Source organism: Homo sapiens, chromosome 8 (assembly GCF_000001405.40).
Source record: "Homo sapiens chromosome 8, GRCh38.p14 Primary Assembly".
Classification (NCBI taxonomy): domain Eukaryota; kingdom Metazoa; phylum Chordata; class Mammalia; order Primates; family Hominidae; genus Homo; species Homo sapiens.
In genome coordinates, this window is record NC_000008.11 from 52,027,510 (window position 1) to 52,048,506 (window position 20,997).

At 40.6% G+C, this 20,997-nt stretch overlaps 1 annotated feature.

Moving 5' to 3' along the window:
• Positions 19,428-19,927: an enhancer, noted in NCBI's record as "H3K4me1 hESC enhancer chr8:52959497-52959996 (GRCh37/hg19 assembly coordinates)". NCBI's record gives its function as "activates a minimal SCP1, AML or CMV promoter by ChIP-STARR-seq in naive H9 embryonic stem cells {active_cell/tissue: H9 hESC(naive)}" and the evidence as "EXISTENCE:reporter gene assay evidence [ECO:0000049][PMID:30033119]".

Sequence of the window (20,997 nt, forward strand, 5' to 3'; positions counted from 1 at the left end):
GTGGGTAACCCGACCTTTCTCTCTGGCTGCCCTTAACATTTTTTCCTTCATATCAACTTTGGTGAATCTGACAATTATGTGTCTTGGAGTTGCTCTTCTCAAGGAGTATCTTTGTGGCGTTCTCTGTATTTCCTGAATTTGAATGTTGGCCTGTCTTGCTAGACTGGGGAAGTTCTCCTGGATAATATCCTGCAGAGTGTTTTCCAACTTGGTTCCATTCTCCCCGTCACTTTCAGGTACACCAATCAGACGTAGATTTGGTCTCTTCACATAGTCCCGTATTTCTTGGAGGCTTTGTTCATTTCTTTTTATTCTTTATTCTCTAAACTTCTCTTCTCGCTTCGTTTCACTCGTTTGATCTTCCATCACTGATACCCTTTCTTCCAGTTGATCAAATCGGCTATTGAGGCTTGTGCATTCGCCATGTAGTTCTCGTGCCGTGGTTTTCAGCTCCATCAGATCCTTTAAGGACTTCTCTGCATTGGTTACTCTAGTTAGCCATTCATCTAATCTTTTTCCAAGGTTTTTAACTTCTTTGCCATGGGTTCAAACTTCCTCCTTTAGCTTGGAGTAGTTTGATCGTCTGAAGCCTTCTTCTCTCAACTCGTCAAAGTCATTCCCTGTCCAGCTTTGTTCCATTGCTGGTGAGGAGCTGCGTTCCTTTGGAGGAGGAGAGGCCCTCTGTCAACATTAGACAGATCAACGAGACAGAAATCAACAAGGATATCCAGGAATTGAACTCAGCTCTGCACCAAGCGGACCTAATAGACATCTACAGAACTCTCCACCCCAAGTCAACAGAATATACATTCTTTTCAGCACCACACCACACCTATTCCAAAATTGACCACATAGTTGGAAGTAAAGCACTCCTCAGCAAATGTAAAAGAACAGAAATTATAACAAACTGTCTCTCAGACCACAGTGCAATCAAACTAGAAATCAGGATTAAGAAACTCACTCAAAACCAATCAACTATATGGAAACTGAACAATCTGCTCCTGAATGACTACTGGGTTCATAACCAAATGAAGGCAGAAATAAAGATGTTCTTTGAAACCAATGAGAACAAAGACACAACATACCAGAATCTCTGGGACACATTCAAAGCAGTGTGTAGAGGGAAATTTGTAGCACTAAATGTCCACAAGAGAAAGCACGAAAGATCTAAAATTGACACCCTAACATCACAATTAAAAGAACTAGAGAAGCAAGAGAAAACACATTCAAAAGATAGCAGAAGTCAAGAAATAACTAAGATCAGAGCAGAGCTGAAGGAAATAGAGACACAAAAAAACCTTCAAAAAATCAGTGAATCCAGGAGCTGGTTTTTTGAAAAGATCAACAAAATTGATAGACTGCTAGCAAGACTCATAAAGAAGAAAAGAGAGAAGAATCAAACAGATGCAATAAAAAATGATAAAGGGGATATCACCACCGAACCCACAGAAATATAAACTACCGTCAGAGAATACTATAAAGAACTCTATGCAAATAAAATTGAAAATCTAGAAGAAATGGATAAATTCCTTGACACATACACCCTCCCAAGACTAAACCAGGAAGAAGTTGAATCTCTCAATAGACCAATAACAGGCTCTGAAATTGAGGCAATAATTAATAGCTTATCAATCAAAAAAAGTCCAGGACCAGATGGATTCACAGACAAATTCTACCCGAGGTAAAAGGAAGAGCTGGTACCACTCCTTCCGAAACTATTCCAATCAATAGAAAAAGTGGGAATCCTCCCTAACTCATTTTATGAGGCCAGCATCATCCTGATACCAAAGCCTGGCAGAGACACAGCAAAAAAAAGATTATTTTAGACCAATATCCTTGATGAACATCGATGCAAAAATCCTCAATAAAATACTGGCAAACCAAATCCAGCAGCACATCAAAAAGCTTATCCACCATGGTTAAGTGGGCTTCATCCCTGGGATGCAAGGCTGGTTCAATATACGCAAATCAATAAACGTAATCCAGCATATAAACAGAACCAAAGACAAAAACCACATGATTATCTCAATAGATGCAGAAAAGGCCTTTAACAAAATTCAACAACCTTCATGCTAAAAACTCTCAATAAATTAGGTATTGATGGGATATATCTCAAAATAATAAGAGCTATCTATGACAAACCCACAGCCAATATCATACTGAATGGGCAAAAACTGGAAGCATTCCCTTTGAAAACTGGTACAAGACAGGGATGCCCTCTCCCACCAGTCTTATTCAACATAGTGTTGGAAGTTCTGGCCAGGGCAAATCAGGCAGGAGAAGGAAATAAAGGGTATTCAATTAGGAAAAGAGGAAGTCAAACTGTCCCTGTTTGCAGATGACATGATTGTATATCTAGAAAACCCATCGTCTCAGCCCCAAATCTCCTTAAGCTGCTAAGCAACTTCAGCAAAGTCTCAGGATACAAAATCAATGTGCAAAAATCACAAGCATTCCTATACACCAATAAGAGACAAACAGAGAGCCAAATCATGAGTGAACCCCATTCACAATTGCTTCAAAGAGAATAAAATACCTAGGAATCCAACTTTCAAGGGATGTGAAGGACCTCTTCAAGGAGAACTACAAACCACTGCTCAACGAAATAAAAGAGGATACAAACAAATGGAAGAACATTCCATGCTCATGGGTAGGAGGAATCAATATCGTGAAAATGGCCATACTGCCCAAGGTAATTTATAGATTCAATGACATCCCCATCAAGCTACCAATTCTTCACAGAATTGGAAAAAACTACTTTAAAGTTCATATGGAACCAAAAAATAGCCCACGTTGCCAAATCAATCCTAAGCCAAAAGAACAAAGCTGGAGGCATCACGCTACCTGACTTCAAATGATACTACAAGGCTACAGTAACCAAAACAGCATGGTACTGGTAACAAAACAGAGATGTAGACCAATGGGACAGAACAGAGCCCTCAGAAATAATGCCACATATCTACAACTATCTGATCTTTGACAAACCTGACAAAAACAAGAAATGGGGAAAGGATTCCCTATTTAATAAATGGTGCTGGGAAAACTGGCTAGCCATATGTAGAAAGCTGAAACTGGATCCCTTCCTTACACCTTATACAAAAATTAATTCAAGATGGATTAAAGACTTAAACGTTAGACCTAAAACCATAAAAACCCTAGAAGAAAACCTAGGCAATACCATTCAGGACATAGGCATGGGCAAGGACTTCATGTCTAAAACACAAAAAGCAATAGCAACAAAAGCCAAAATTGACAAATGGGATCTAATTAAACTAACAGCTTCTGCATAGCAAAAGAAACTACCATCAGAGTGAACAGGCAACCTACAGAATGGGAGAAAATTTTTGCAATCTACTCATCTGACAAAGGGCTAATATCCACAATCTACAATGAACTCAAACAAATTTACAAGAAAAAAACAAACAACCCCATCAAAAAGCGGGCAAAGGATATGAACAGACATTTCTCACAAGAAGACATTTATGCAGACAAAAGACATGAAAAAATGCTCATCATCACTGGCCATCAGAGAAACGCAAATCAAAACCACAGTGAGATACCATCTCACACCAGTTAGAATGGCGATCATTAAAAAATCAGGAAACAGCAGGTGCTGGAGAGGATGTGGAGAAATAGGAACACTTTTACACTGTTGGTGGGACTGTAAACTAGTTCAACCATTGTAGAAGTCAGTGTGGCGATTCCTCAGGGATCTAGAGCTAGAAATACCATTTGACCCAGCCATCCCATTACTGGGTATATACCCAAAGGATTATAAATCATTCTGCTATAAAGACGCGTGCACACATATGTTTATTGTGGCACTCTTCACAATAGCAAAGACTTGGAACCAACCCAAATGTCCAACACTGATAGACTGGATTAAGAAAATGTGGCACATATACACCATGGAATACTATGCAGTCATAAAAAATGATGAGTTCATGTCCTTTGTAAGGACATGGATGAAATTGGAAACCATCATTCTCAGCAAACTATCGCAAGGACAAAAAACTAAACACCGCATGTTCTCATTCATATTTGGGAATTGAACAATGAGAACACGTGGACATAGGAAGGGGAACATCACACACTGGGGCCTGTTGTGGGGTGGGGGGAGGGGGGAGGGATAGCATTAGGAGATATACCTAATGTTAAATGACGAGTTAATGGGTACAGCACACCAACATAGCACATGTATACGTATGTAACAAACCTGCACGTTGTGCACACATACCCTAAAACTTAAAGTATAATTAAACAAACAAACAATCAAAAAAAGAAAATGTGTTTATATACCCTGATTGGCTCTGGAGTTAAAAAAAAATTGTCAATAGTGTTTACACTCAGTATTAATCAGGAAACTGTGATCTGCTTCTATTTTCCTCCCAATAGAATAAATTCTTTAATTTCCCACCAGTGCTCTCTGAACGCCTTTGGACCTGGTCCTCTGCAGAGCCCACATCTCCTGCAGTTTATCAGGTCCCATTTTCCTTCTTCCCTAGAATCCCTCATGCTCAGGCTCCCGTTGGCACTGGGTGCTCCCAAGCTGTGCTGCACGGCTGTCCACCTGGGCCCCGCTTCCCTCTTTTCTGTGTCTCATGGCCTGTTCTCTGGAACCTGCCTCTTATTCTATTCTGTTGCGTGCTTGGTGTCAGGGAACACACCCTCTTTTCTACAGAACTGTGTTTTAGGGCTGGAGAAAAGTGGGGGCAACCAGGACCTAAATCCCTGTCCTTCACATTGGTGTCAGGAGAATCTCTCTAAACAAATCAACAAACATATTTGAGACAGTTTCTACCTAAAACTGGAAACAGGAAGGTCAATGCTGAGGAAACAGCTAAATGAATTGAATGTGGCAGGCTCTGAGGAGGATGCCCAGGAGGGGTGAAGGGGCAGGACAGAGGCGGACTATGAGACTTTAATGGCATGGAAATGTATCACTGCAATGGTTCAAACATTAATTTTAAATAAATACATAATATAAAAATTTTAATAGATGTATTTAAATAAATTTTAGATAATAAGTATGATAAATTATGCTTTTCAGGAAAAGTATAATTTCTTTTTGATACTTTCCCTATACTATTTCTATATTTTCCATTATTTTCTATACTTTCCTAAGAATCTATGATGAAAATATTCCTGGAACTGGTTTTGTAACTATATGTGTGTACCAGACAGGGGACCTGTGGCGATAAGAAGCCACTCTTTAATGAGGATCATTTTAGGAAGATTTAATAAAAGGCTACATACAAGGAGTGGACCGAGTGTAAGAAACCACCAGGGCTGTGCCCAGAATGCAAAGGAAAGTCGTTTGCAGCCACTGCATTAGCAGAGCTGGGGCCTAGGTGGAGGGACTCACTGGCTAGGCTGGGGCGGGCCACAGGATAAAAGCATAGCTTCTCCTTCCTCCCTCAGTTGCCTTGCCCAGGCTCAGGAGCTCCTGGAGGCAGTGCAGGGCTGAGGGAAAAAGGATGAAGGCTGCATCTGCAAGAGGCACATTGAAATTACCTGCAAGACAGGTATGAGAGCAAAGCGAGGCATGCGCTCCCGCCGACTTACTTCAGGCACAACACAGGTGAAATGCGCCTAGCTCAGCCCCCGTATCTGGCAAGTCTCCTGCTCTGTGCCCAGCGGAAACTGGGACTCTGACATCTGTGTAAACACCTGGGCCCTATTTTCTCTTCCTGTTCAGTCCAGACTTCTAGACTTTGGCCCCTGTGCAACTGACTTCATTTTCTGAATCTACAAGCTGTTTGCCTTCTTCACCTCCACTAATCTTTTGTTGTGAGCAGCGTCATTTATCATGCACTACTTGCCCGAAAGGCAGGCAGCACAGAGGGATGTAAGTGCATGGGATCAAATCCCTACGGCTACGTGCCAGCTCCACGACTCGGGAAATCATTTCATCTCTTTGAGTCTCATTTTCTTCTTCAGAGCATTGGGGAAAATACTTCCTAAGTTTTCTGTGAGAACTAAATAAGATAATGTATATGAAGCAACTAGTACAATGCCCAGTAAGTGCCATCTCTTTCCTTTATTCCAGACAGAGAGGGCATAAGACATTCAGAGAATGTCAAAAGGGGGTTGTGAGAGTAGACTTGATGAATTCCAGGAATCAAGGGAGAAATAGTTTCATAGGAGAGAAACCCCTAGACGTTTTAGAAGCAAGTCAAAGAAAATGCTGTGAAAATAAGGCCTGCTTTCTTCTACGTTACAACACAGGTAATGGACTAACTATTATGTAAAATTTGGTGTCTTCACTTTAAAAATAGGGTGAATCATGATTGTCCTTCTCTGCTATGGTAATGCACAGCTAGTGCTTAGAACAACATCAAGCTCACAGAGGGACTCATGCCGGTTAGTTTCAGGTGGTTTCTTGAGCCTTTGAAACTTGTCCCATGCTCGCCACTATCCAAATTTCTTGTTGCCTTTTGGTAGAATAAAAGCCAACATATAACAAGAATGTGATTCTTTACTCTGAAACAACAAAGAGAAAGGGAACTGGAGCAATAAGAACAACCCTACAGCCAATCTTTAGAGAAAGGAATAGAGTGTTCTATGAGAAGTGCAATACGCAGAAAGAAAGAAAGCGAGCTCAATTTTTAGAGGATCCAGTTGCTTTAGGGGACCCAGCTGTCAGGAGGCACAGGTATGATTTTCTGACTCCAAAATATCCCTGCCCATCTGCAGGCTCCCGTTGGCACCCAATTGTATTGTGCATTTCCAGAGTTCTTCTACGTCCAGTTCTGGGGGTTATGCTTCCACACAGCATTCTCTGGTGTGCTTGGGAACATGTCTTCAGCCATACAAGCCAGGCACTGCTGGTGCCTTCTCCATGAAGTCATGCTTCAAGCATGCTTTCACCATCCCCAGGCTTTTGTGCTGATGTGTTTGCATTTATCTTTGTGCCTGGATCTCTTTGCTCCTTCTGAGCAATGTGTACTGCCAGCTGTAATGAGGAGTACTCTCTGGTAATGTCAATCAATATGTTCACTATATATTGAGCTTTGCCCATCATTGCAAAGCAGAATTCAGCATAATATGAGATAAATACGAAATGTTCATCTTCTGTCTGAAGCTTTTCTTGTCATTGAGTTATTATATTAGTATTAGGGACTTTTTGTCCATTCAGCAAATGTTCGTTAAATATCCATTACATACCAGATACTGTAAGGCTGAAGATAGAGAAGTTATAGATAGAAATAGCTAGGCATGGTGGCTCACACCTGTAATCCCAGCACTATGGTAGGCCAATGCGGGAGGATCACTTGAAGCCAGGGGTTCAAGACCAGCCTGGGCAACATAGTGATACCCCATCTCTACAAAAGAAAAAATGATTAAAAATAGCAGAGCATGGGGGCACGTGCATGTAGTCCCAGCTACTTGGGAGGCTGAGGCAGGAGGATCATTTGAGCCCAGAATTTTGCAGTGATCTAGGATTGCACCACTGCACTCCAGCCCGGGCAACAGAGCAAGACCTTACCTCAAAAAAAAAAAAAAAAAAAAAAAGAGAGAGAGAGAGAGACACCTCATCTTCATGGGCCTACTGTCATATTTATAAAATGTATTTGAGATTTTGCATATATGTTCATCCTAAGGTAAAAGATGACAGCCTTTGAACTACCAGGATTTGATCTGAAAAGTCTCCTTGGACAAGGCCAAGAGAGTGGACAGTGCCTTTCCCAGCTGGTTTATTTCCTTAAAAATCTGCTGGGGTTGCTATATAGGAGTCCATAGTAATTTTGTGAGGGCAAGCTAAGAAAATGTTTTCTTAATTAAAAATATTTATGTTTATCACAAGTGGTGATAAGAAGATAGAGACAGAAATGCTGCATTGGGATGGTTATCAGTGATGACTTTTTGAGTTTTTCAGAATAATATCTGGAGTCTTAAAAATCAAAGTTGTTCTTCTTCATCGGATTTTTCAATGTAATCAATATGTTAAAATATGCTTGTTATGTTGAATAGCAGACCTGGTATTTTCACAGACTTTAAGAAATACTTAGAGCCATGGAGTACTGAAAACATGACATATTTTTCAAGTTAGAACAGTGTGAATGGTGAATTGTACTTGCTTCTGGGTGAGCAAATAGTATTCTGCAATTTAATCCTATTATCAAAGTGAGTTAACAGAATCCGATTTAAATACCAATTCAGATTTGTTTATACAGATCTGAATAATGAGCATATACTGTAGATCTTCTGGCGTCTGACCTGAGATGAATACCTGTTTGTTTCAAACTTTCTAACATGCTTCTGATAAACTGAAGACCTCTGTGTGTGGGGGGTATATGTGAGGGCGTGTGTGTGATATGTGTGTAGTGTGTGTGTGACTGTGTGTGGTGTGTGTATATGAGTGTGTGTCAGCAATAAATACATCCCTGAAATTTGACTAGCTTTTACTTCTTCCATCTTCATTGAAAGAATGCAAATCCTATTCCAATAGCAAGCTTTTTTCCTTGACTAGCATTCAGATCCGTCACAATTTTCAGGAAGAAAAAGGAAATGCAGACATTCATAGACTTGAGCTGATTCCACACCAACATGTTTGTAGTAAACTTGTGTTTTATTATTGTTGAATAATAGTGTAATATTCAAGGACACGTTAGATATGCAGTTTTTCACTCTATAGAAAAAGCAGGAGAGAATAAAAATTCATAAGTCAAAATGAATTGAAATAAAAATAAAGCTGAAAAAGGGCAGAACAATACATCTTACAGGAATTCAAAAATCACAATCAGACATGCAACTTACAGAGCCATAAAAGATTTGATCTAGAAAAGCTCTTAATAATAAAATTTATTTTCTATGTTATACTCAAGTAGTCATAATTAAACTTGTTCCAAAATTTAAAGTGAGTCAACATTCCTAAAAGTTGTTTTGACATTGAGAGCTCTTTTCTAGAGGAAAAAAATTCTTTTATTTCAATACATTTAAAATAGAATAAACTTTTAAAGGAAGCCAATGTAGAACTTAGTGCTAATTTTTGGAAAAGTTTGCTGATTTTTAAAAATCTTTTTTAAACTTGAAAATTTAGAGTACATATAAATAAAATAAAGACCAGATAGGTATTAATTCAGATGTATTTTTGCCCTTGTCACTAACATTTATGACATACAAATGACCAAAAATGATGTTTTTATGAAGTGTAGGATAGAGTTTTAAATATTGGTATGTGGTGCTAGAGTTAGTAATGGAATCATTTGTTCAGGTAAGTAGGCTGAAATCATGTAACTAATTCACAAAGTACCTTTACAATAGATGTTATTTTAAAAAATACAAACATGACAATTTGTAAATGTAGTTCCTCTGCTTACTAGAATACTTTTTCATTTCTAATAGTACCCCAGATACTCAAGCTATATTTGGAAGGTTGAAATTATTTTCATAAAGACACAATGTAGAACGAACTTCAGGCTTTCTTTTGTATTAAATTTGCGAGGGACCCTCTTGAAGCCTACTACAGTGAAGGCATGATTGGATGTTTAATTATTATTATTTTTTTTTTGAGACTGAGTCTCGTTCTTTTGCCCAGGCTGGAGTGCAGTGGGGTGATCTCGGCTCACTGCAAGCTTCGTCTCCCGGGTTCACGCCACTGCCCTGCCTCAGCCTCCCGCCTCAGCCTCCCGAGTATCTGGTTGGACAGGCGCCGGCCACCACGCCTGCCTAATTTTTTGTGTTTCTTAGTAGAGACTGGGTTTCACCGTGTTAGCCAGAATGGTCTCGATCTCCTGACCTCGTGATCCTCCCGCCTCGGCCTCCCAAAGTGCTGGGATTACAGGCGTGAGCCACTGCGCCCGGCCCGGATGTTTAAATTTTTTTGAAATGAATCCCTCAAGCTGAGTCTATGCAGTATTATATTCATGAGCCACATAGCGACATTTCAGTCAATGGTGGGCTGCATATGTAATGATGGTCCTATTCTGTCTAATACTATATTTTTACTGTACTTTTTCTAGGTTTAGATATGTTTAGATACACAAATACCGTTGTGTTCCAATTGCCTGCAGTATCCAGTACAGTCCATGCTGTACAGGTTTGCGCCTAGGAGCAATGGGCTGTACCATATAGCCTGGGTGTGGGGTGGGCTCTACCATCTGGGTTTGTGTAAGTGTACTTTATGATGTTCGCAGTGTCGGAATTGCCTAACAGTGCGTTTCTCAGAAGGTATTGCTATCATTAAGCAACACATAACTGTAATTGAAACGACTTTGTGGAAATTATCTAATTTGGAGTGAATAACCGTACCAAGTTCAGATGAGTAAATCTCAAGGTAAATACTTGGAGAATGACTTGTTTAGTTAATTAGTTTGCTAGGGCTACCATAACGAAGTAGCACAGACTGGATGACTTAAGCAACAGAAATTTGTTGTCTCACTGTTCTAGAGGCTGGAAGTCTGAGATCAAGGTGTCAGCAGGGTTGGTTCTCCTGAGGGCTCTCTCCTCGGCTTGTAGAGGATGTAATCTTCCTGTGTCTTCAAATGGGCTTCCCTCTGTGTCTCTCTGTATCCTAATCTCTTTTTTTTTTTTTTTTTTTTTGAGATGGAGTCTCTCTCTGTTACCCAGGCTGGAGTGCAGTGGCGATATCTCGGCTCACTGCAAGCTCTGCTTCCCGGTTTCACGCCATTCTCCTGCCTCAGCCTTCCGAATAGCTGGGACTACATGTGCCTGCCACCATGCTCCGCTAATTTTTTGTATTTTTAGTAGAGACGGGGTTTCACCGTGTTAGCCAGGATGGTCTCGATCTCCTGACCTCGTGATCCGCCCGCCTCGGCCTCCCAAAGTGCTGGGATTACAGGCGTGAGCCACCTCGCCCGGCCCCCTAATCTCTTCTTAAAAGGACACCCGCCATACTGGATTAGGGCCCACCCTAATAACCTCATTTTAACTTAATCACCTCTTTAAAGGCCCTATCTGGAAATACAGTCCCTTACAAGGTACTGGAGGTTAGGACCTCAACATATGCATTTTGAAAGGACAGAAATCAGCCCACAATATTTAGCTTTTACAACTTAAATTAACCCGACAAATTTTGTGTCAGCCTAGAACTCTCAACATTTGGAACTTGCCTTGGTATTCTTCCGTTGTTTAAAATGTTCTCATTTCCTCTTTAGAGTCCCAACATTCAGAGGAACCAGATGTTTCAGTATCTTGGAGAGGAAACTCAAAGAGTGACAGATATTTTACAGAGGCAGGACCCCTTCACTGACTCAGGGACTGCACATGGCAAGCTCTGAAAAAACAACTTGGGGCTCCAGATGGGGGCTGGCACCCTCGCCTGCTTTCGGGGTTTCCTTCCTCTAAGACCCAATGCTTCTCTCTCTGTGCTTGGGTGGTTCACATGCAGGTGGGTAGCCCTGGACCTCTGTGCTTTTGTCAAAATCTTCTTTTCCTAATAACCTTAAGATCCCTCCCACTGCCATCCATGAGAGACATACTTAGCATGTTCCAATGTTTTATTTGCCTTTTCATTACTTTCCAACCCAAATCGAGAAATTAAAACACAAACCCACTTGCTCTACATCTCCCTCTCTCTCTGGACACTTTTTGTTCTACTTTCCCCAAATCCTTCTCTAGATGGTTGAGCAATAGACAATACTTGGTGATTCATTTCTGTCATTTTCCTTCTGCTTCACCTCCATGCTGTTGGTTTAGCATGATCTCATTACTTCTCATCTGCAAAGTTAACTGTCTGTCCTTTAAGTAAATTGGTCATTAATATCTCTCGTTGCTTTTAATTTTCACAACTTGAATTGGAAATGGAAATTCACTCTATTGTTGTGGTGAATTTTCCTCTACAGTCATCTGAGAGTCATCTGTGACATCTGCCTTCCCTCTCCATTCATGTAGTTTTCACCAGTTGCTATGGATGGCTCCTACCCCCATCTTCAACACACACCTTCTTTTCATTCCCGCTGTCACTGCCCAGTTCCCACCTGCATAATCTCCTGCCTGGATTAAGCCATAAAAGCCTCCAGTCTGGTTGCCACACCTCAAATATCACCCTCGCCTCAACACATTTGCTACAATGCTGGTGGAATAAAGGAATTTTCTAAAACTCATACCCAATGGGATGATACTCCTGCTTAAAATTCTTCAAAGGTTTCCAACTAAACAAATTCTAAAATCGTTTTCATGACATTTGAAACCCTTGAGAATAGAAATTGTCCCTATTTCTTGCATGTTTCCCAGTCACATCCATGCTAGGCTGTGCTGACCCCTGGCCCTGTCACTGGGAAGCCTTCCATGACCTCAGTCTGCCCTTCTAATTGACCTAATATGACACTTGCTTATTTCATACACTGTAGTCGATTATTTTTTACTTGTCTGATTTTCCTTCCAGAGTCTAGACAAGGAGCCTCAATGAGCACAGACTTCTCCCTTTAGATTGTATTTGTCTTTGCATATTTAACATAGAGTAAGTCCTCAGAACTTACAGTTGGATTAATACATATTTATAAAAATCTGAGGCCGGACTATATTCCTAGTAACTTTTAAAAAAGTTATATAATTATCAATAATTTCTTGAGTAATTGTCATTATTTACACTTCACATATTTCCAACAAACTGAGTTATCTAACAAGCTTATAGCATGTTAATATAGTGAGGCTAAATGGCAGGAGTTACCCAATGCAGAATGAATCAGTGTGTATAAAGCCATCTAGACTGCTGGGGGAGAACAAACGAAAAAGGAAAAACAAAACACACACAAAACTACCTGTCAATAGCATTTTTTTTTAAAGGTTGTTAATTGTGACTCTGAATTTAGTTTCTGACTTTTAAAAATCTTTAACTATTAAGCTATTCTCTTATAGCTATCATGTTTTTTCTGTTGAACACATTTCCCCTTCCCCTGTCAAACAGGGCTTGTGGTAAGATCATGGTCAGGATGATCTTGGTCTTTGGATTCCATTGGGGTCACATTTAGGACTTGGCTGGAGAGGGGATTTGGCAGCCGCTTACCCCTCTCTAACCAGCATTCTGTTTGGCAAAGCCTGCCAGGTGCCTGATTGTGCAGAGAAATGGGATAGGATCACTCAGTGTGACAGTCAGGAGAGATTTCACAGATCACAAGTGTTTGGAGAGGCAAGTCAGAGCTGAGCCATGGAAACGTGTCTGCGTCGCACTGAGTGGGAGTGGCCTGCCAGCAGGAGTCCAAGGTCATGGGAGTCACCTCGCCTTTGGACAAAGGCCCAATGCAGAGATACCTCAAGGTACACCACCGGTACATGTAATTCTTTTGAAAATTCCAAACTATGTTGTTTACCTGGTCAGCCTGCAAGCACAAGGAAATTGGAATTTAACATGACTTGGTGGATAATAAGCCTTTAAATAATGACATTTTTACAGTCCGTCCTCAAAGGAGTACAATGCCAACTTTGTTGTGAGGCAGATGGTGGGGAAAAAGGTGGATGTGAATATGATCATTTAGCAGGCAAATTAATTTATGTGACAATAACCAGCCTCCAAATTGGGTTTATTGACTCATTACATTTTCTCCCTATGAAATTTAGTAAAATGCCAAACTCTACATTTTAGAGGAGCTGAAGGTTATTTTCTCATTTTAAAAGGGAGCACATTCAGCATTTGTTTCAATCTACATAAATAATGCTCCCCCAGCTTCAAGAAAGTCGGTGATTTTTTTTGTAGTTTAAGGAAAATACATTTGTAATAAAATTATAGTTGCTTAGGCAATCCTCAATTAATCTTAAAAATAATCAATTACTTAACTTATGGATCACTTTTTTTTGGAGCCAAAGTAATTTTCCAAACAAAACTAAAATAAATTAGACCAGGAAAACCTCAAATGATCTTTTTTTAAAAAATTTTATTATTATTATACTTTAAGTTTTAGGGTACATGTGCACAACGTGCAGGTTTGTTACATATGTATACATGTGCCATGTTGGTGTGCTGCACCCATTAACTCGTCATTTAGCATTAGATATATCTCCTAATGCTATCCCTCCCCCCTCCCCCCACCCCACAACAGTCCCTGGTGTGTGATGTTCCCCTTCCTGTGTCCATGTGTTCTCATTGTTCAATTCCCACCTATGAGTGAGAACATGCAGTGTTCCGTTTTTTGTCCTTGCGATAGTTTGCTGAGAATGATGGTTTCCAGTTTCATCCATGTCCCTACAAAGGACATGAACTCATCACTTTTTATGGCTGCATAGTATTCCATAGTGTATATGTGCCACATTTTCTTAATCCAGTCTATTGTTGTTGGACATTTAGGTTGGTTCCAAGTCTTTGCTATTGTGAACAGTGCCGCAATAAACATACGTGTACATGTGTCTTTAGAGCAGCATGATTTATAATCCTTTGGGTATATACCCGGTAATGGGATGGCTGGGTCAAATGGTATTTCTAGTTCTACATCCCTAAGGAATCGCCACACTGACTTCTACAGTGGTTGAACTAGTTTACAGTTCCACCAACAGTGTAAAAGTGTTCCTATGTCTCCACATCCTCTCCAGCATCTGCTGTTTCCTGACTTTTTAATGATCACCATTCTAACTGGTGTGAGATGGTATCTCATTGTGGTTTTGATTTGCATTTCTCTGATGGCCAGTGATGATGAGCATTTTTTCATGTGTTTTTTGGCTGCATAAATGTCTTCTTTTGAGAAGTGTCTGTTCATGTCCTTCACCCACTTTTTGATCGGGTTGTTTGTTTTTTTCTTGTAAATTTGTTTGAGTTCATTGTAGATTGTGGATATTAGCCCTTTGTCAGATGAGTAGATTGCAAAAATTTTCTCCCATTCTGTAGGTTGCCTGTTCACTCTGATGGTAGTTTCTTTTGCTGTGCAGAAGCTCTTTAGTTTAATTAGATCCCATTTGTCAATTTTGGCTTTTGTTGCTATTGCTTTTTGTGTTTTAGACATGAAGTCCTTGCCCATGCCTATGTCCTGAATGGTATTGCCTAGGTTTTCTTCTAGGGTTTTTATGGTTTTAGGTCTAACATTTAAGTCTTTAATCCATCTTGAATTAATTTTTGTATAAGGTGTAAGGAAGGGTTTCAGTTTCAGCTTTCTACATATGGCGAGCCAGTTTTCCCAGCACCATTTATTAAATAGGGAATCCTTTCCCCATTACTTGTTTCTGTCAGGTTTGTCAAGGATCAGATAGTTATAGATATGTGGCATTATTTCTGAGGGCTCTGTTCTGTTCCATTGGTCTATGTCTCTGTTTTGTTACCAGTACCATGCTGTTTTGGTTACTGTAGCCTTGTGGTATAGTTTGAAGTCAGGTAGGGTGATGCCTCCAGCTTTGTTCTTTTGGCTTAGGATTGACTTGGCGATGCAGGCTATTTTTTGGTTCCATATGAACTTTAAAGTAGTTTTTTTCCAATTCTGTAAAGAAAGTCATTGGTAGCTTGATGGGGATGTCATTGAATCTATAAATTACCTTGGGCATTATGGTCATTTTGACGATATTGATTCTTCCTACCCATGAGCATGGAATGTTCTTCCATTTGTTTGTATCCTCTTTTATTTCATTGAGCAGTGGTTTGCAGTTCTCCCTGAAGAGGTCCTTCACATCCCTTGTAAGTTGGATTCCTAGGTATTTTATTCTCTTTGAAACAATTGTGAATGGGAGTTCACTCATGATTTGTCTCTCTGTTTGTCTGTTATTGGTGTATAAGACTGCTTGTGATTTTTGTACATTGATTTTGTATCCTGAGACTTTGCTGAATTTGCTTATCAGCTTGAGGAGATTTTGGGCTGAGAGGATTGGGTTTTCTATACATACAATCATGTCATCTGCAAACAGGGACAATTTGACTTCCTCTTTTCCTAATTGAATACCCTTTATTTCCTTCTCCTGCCTGATTGCCCTGGCCAGAACTTCCAACACTATGTTGAATAGGAGTGGTGAGAGAGGGCATCCCTGTCTTGTACCAGTTTTCAAAGGGAATGCTTCCAGTTTTTGCCCATTCAGTAAGATATTGGCTGTGGGTTTGTCATAGATAGCTCTTATTATTTTGAGACACGTCCCATCAATACCTAATTTATTGAGAGTTTTTAGCATGAAGGTTGTTGAATTTTGTTAAAGGCCTTTTCTGCATCTATTGAGATAATCATGTAGTTTTTGTCTTTGGTTCCGTTTATATGCTGGATTACATTTATTGATTTGCGCATATTGAAGCAGCCTTGCATCCCAGGGATGAAACCCACTTGATCATGGTGGATAAGCTTTTTGATGTGCTGCTGGATTTGGTTTGCCAGTATTTTATTGAGGATTTTTGCATCGATGTTCATCAAGGATATTGGTCTAAAATTCTCTTTTTTTGTTGTGTCTCTGCCAGGCTTTGGTATCAGGATGATGCTGGCCTCATAAAATGAGTTAGGGAGGATTCCCTCTTTTTCTATTGATTGGAATAGTTTCAGAAGGAATGGTACCAGCTCCTCTTTGTACCTCTGGTAGAATTTGGCTGTGAATCCATCTGGTCCTGGACTTTTTTTGGTTGGTAAGCTATTGATTATTGCCTCAATTTCAGAGCCTGTTATTGGTCTATTGAGAGATTCAACTTCTTCCTGGTTTAGTCTTGGGAGGATGTATGTGTCGAGGAATTTATCTATTTCTTCTAGATTTTCTAGTTTATTTGCATAGAGGTGTTTATAGTATTCTCTGATGGTAGTTTGTATTTCTGTGGGATCAGTGGTGATATCTCCTTTATCATTTTTTATTGCATCTATTTGATTCTTCTCTCTTTTCTTCTTTATTAGTCTTGCTAGCAGTCTATCAATTTTGTTGATCTTTTCAAAAAACCAGCTCCTGGATTCATTAATTTTTTGAAGGGTTTTTTGTGTCTCTATTTCCTTCAGTTCTTCTCTGATCTTAGTTATTTCTTGCTTTCTGCTATCTTTTGAATGTGTTTGCTCTTGCTTCTCTAGTTCTTTTAATTGTGATGTTAGGTTGTCAATTTTAGATCTTTTGTGCTTTCTCTTGTGGGCATTTAGTGCTATACATTTCCCTCTACACACTGCTTTGAATGTGTCCCAGAGATTCTGGTATGTTGTGTCTTTGTTCTCATTGGTTTCAAAGAGCATGTTTATTTCTGCCTTCATTTCATTATTTACCCAGTAGTCATTCAGGAGCAGGTTGTTCAGTTTCCATGTAGTAGAGCGGTTTTGAGTGAGTTTCTTAATCGTGAGTTCTAGTTTGATTGCACTGTGGTCTGAGAGACAGTTTGTTATAATTTCTGTTCTTTTACATTTGCTGAGGAGTGCTTTACTTCCAACTATGTGGTCAATTTTGGAGTAGGTGTGGTGTGGTGCTGAAAAGAATGTATATTCTGTTGATTTGGGGTGGAAAGTTCTGTAGATGTCTATTAGGTCTGCTTGTTGCAGAGCTGAGTTCAATTCCTGGATATCCTTGTTAACTTTCTGTCTCATTGATCTGTCTAATGTTAACAGTGGGGTGTTAAAGTCTCCCATTATTATTGTGTGGGAGTCTAAATCTCTTTGCACATCACTAAGGACTTGCTTTATGAATCTGGGTGCTCCTGTATTGGGTGCATATATATTTAGGATAGTTCGCTCTTCTTGTTGAATTGATCCCTTTTCCATTATGTAATGGCCTTCTTTGTCTCTTTTGATCTTTGTTGGTTTAAAGTCTGTTTTATCAGAGACTAGGATTGCAATGCCTGCCTTTTTTTTGTTTCCTATTTGCTTGGTAGATCTTCCTCGATCCCTTTATTTTGAGCCTATGTGTGTCTCTGCACGTGAGATGGGTCTCCTGAATACAGCACACTGATGGGTCTTGACTCTTTATCCAATTTGCCAGTCTATGTCTTTTAATTGGAGCATTTACATTTAAAGTTAATATTGTTATGTGTGAATTTGATCCTGTCATTATGATGTTAGCTGGTTATTTTGCTCATTAGTTGATGCAGTTTCTTCCTAGCCTCAATGGTCTTTACAATTTGGCATGTTTTTGCAGTGGCTGGTACCGGTCATTCCTTTCCATGTTTAGTGCTTCCTGTAGGAGCTCTTGTAGGGCAGGCCTGGTGGTGACAAAATCTCTCAGCATTTGCTTGTCTGTAAAGTATTTTATTTCTCCTTCACTTATGAAGCTTAGTTTGGCTGGATACGAAATTCTGGGTTGAAAATTATTTCCTTTAAGAATGTTGAATATTGGTCCCCACTCTCTTCTGGCATATAGAGTTTCTGCCGAGAGATCAGCTGTTAGTCTGATGGGCTTCCCTTTGTGGGTAACCCGAGCTTTCCCTCTGGCTGCCCTTAACATTTTTTGCTTCGTTTCAACTTTGGTGAATCTGACAATTGTGTGTCTTGGAGTTGCTCTTCTGGAGGAGTATCTTTGTGGCGTTCTCTGTATTTCCTGAATTTGAATGTTGGCCTACCTTGCTAGATTGGGGAAGTTCTCCTGGATAATATCCTGCAGAGTGTTTTCCAACTTGGTTCCATTCTCCCCGTCACTTTCAGGTACACCAATCAGATGTAGATTCGGTCTTTTCACATAGTCCCATATTTCTTGGAGGCTTTGCTCGTTTCTTTTTATTCTTTTTCTCTAAACTTCTCTTCTCGCTTCATTTCATTCATTTCGTCTTCCATCACTGATACCCTTCCTTCCAGTTGATCTAATCAGCTACTGAGTCTTGCGCATTCATCACGTAGCTCTCATGCCTTGGTTTTCAGCTCCATCAGGTCCTTTAAGGACTTCTCTGCATTGGTTATTCTAGTTATCCATTCGTCTAATTTTTTTTCAAAGCTTTTAACTTCTTTGCCATTGGTTCGAATTTCCTCATGTGGCTCGGAGTAGTTTGATCGTCTGAAGCCTTCTTCTCTCAGCTTGTCAAAGTCATTCTCCATTAGCTTTGTTCCATTGCTGGTGAGGAGGTGCATTCCTTTTGAGGAGGAGAGGCACTCTGATATTTAGTGTTTCCAGTTTTTCTGCTCTGTTTTTTTCCCATCTTTGTGGTTTTATCTACCTTTGGTCTTTGATGATGGTGACATACAGATGGGTTTTTGGTGTGGATGTCCTTTCTGTTTGTTAGTTTTCCTTTTAACAGACAGGACCCTCAGCTGCAGGTCTGTTGGAGTTTGCTAGAGGTCCACTCCAGACCCTATTTGCCTGGGTATCAGCAGTGGTGGCTGCAGAACAGCGTATATTGGTGACCCGCAAATGCTGCTGCCTGATCGTTCCTCTGGAAGTTTTGTCTCAGAGGAGTACCTGGCCGTGTGAGGTGTCAGTCCGCCCCTACTGGGGGGTGCCTCCCAGTTAGGCTACTCGGGGGTCAGGGACCCACTTGAGGAGGCAGTCTGCCCATTCTCAGATCTCCAGCTGTGTGCTGGGAGAACCACTGCTCTCTTCAAAGCTGTCAGAGAGGGACATTTAAGTTTGCAGAGGTTACTGCTGTCTTTTTGTTTGTCTGTGCCCTGCCCCCAGAGGTGGAGCCTACAGAGGCAGGCAGGCCTCCTTGAGCTGTGGTGGGCTCCACCCAGTTTGAGCTTCTGGCTGCTTTGTTTATCTAATCAAACAACTAACTCAGCAATGGTGGGCGCCCCTCCCCCAGCCTCGCTGCCACTTTGCAGTTTGATCTTGGACTGCTGTGTTAGCGATGAGAGAGACTCCATGGGCATAGGACCCTCCAAGCCAGGTGCGGATATAATCTCCTGGTGTGCCGTTTTTTAAGCCTGTTGGAAAAGCGTAGTATTAGGGTGGGAGTGACCTGATTTTCCAGGTGCCATCTGTCACCCCTTTCTTTGACTAGGAAAGGGAATTCCCTGACCCCTTGCACTTCCTGGGTGAGGCAATGCCTCACCCTGCTTCGGCTCATGCATGGTGCGCTGCACCCACCGTTCTGCACCTACTGTCAGGCACTCCCCATTGAGATGAACCCGGTACCTCAGTTGGAAATGCAGAAATCACCCGTCTTCTGCGTCGCTCACTCTGGGAGATGTAGACCGGAGCTGTTCCTATTCGGCCATCTTGGCCTCCCAAATCATCTTGATAAGTAAAAAAAAAAGAAAAAAAAAGAAGAAAGAAAAAAAGAAAAAATGAAGAGAAAAGAGAATGGACAAAAGATTTTAATGTCATATTAGCTGCTCTCTGAGTTGAAGAAATCTGCTTACTATGGAAAGCTGATCTTAATTGATCTTCTAAGGTCAACTGAGTAAAAAGGAAAGATTTTCATAATAGAAAATCAAGAAGGGAAACAGAAACACAGACACTTTCTTAAACTCTATGGTAGCTTATACAATAAAGTCTTATAGCCCACAACGTAGAATTGCTGTCCCCAGAGCACAGGTTCAGGGATGTCTGTGGCCTTCCAAAAGCTGGCCGGCCATGGCATGCCACCTCATCATGCTGACAGCTGAAGGCTCCTGGGACAGGTGCATACTTCACCCTCCTGGAACCCCCAGGACCTACCCAGTTACAGGCTTCTGGACCAGCTCAGCTCCATCTTTTTAGAGCCACATTCTCTCAAAGCTTTGTCATTCTAGTTTTTGCTCCTCTCCACATGCTAAGAAAATCAGGTAGAGATTTCTTTTCTGATGGCAATACAAACATCAGCAACTGTTTTTAAATGTATTTTTAAATATTACATAAATACATTGACACAGAGAGGGGAACATCATACACCAGGGTCTGTCAGGGGGTGGGGAGCAAGGGGAAGGAGAGCATTAGGACAAATACCTAATGCATGTGGGGCTTAAAACCTGGATGATGGGTTGATGGGTGCAGCAAACCACCATGGCACACGTATACCTATGTAACAAACCTGCACATTCTGCACATGTATCCCAGAACTTAAAGTAAAAATTAAAAAAATTACATAAATACGCTCTTGTTGGCAAAAATGTGAACAGTGGGGATAGATATAGACTAATGAGGGCATGCTCCCTTTTCCTCTCTTGAGCAATGAGGTATTTGGCTGTGTACTTATGAAAGCAGGGGTATGAATATGCTGGTATGGCCTGATTTGTTTTGAAATCATTAAGGTGATGCCATGATGATGGT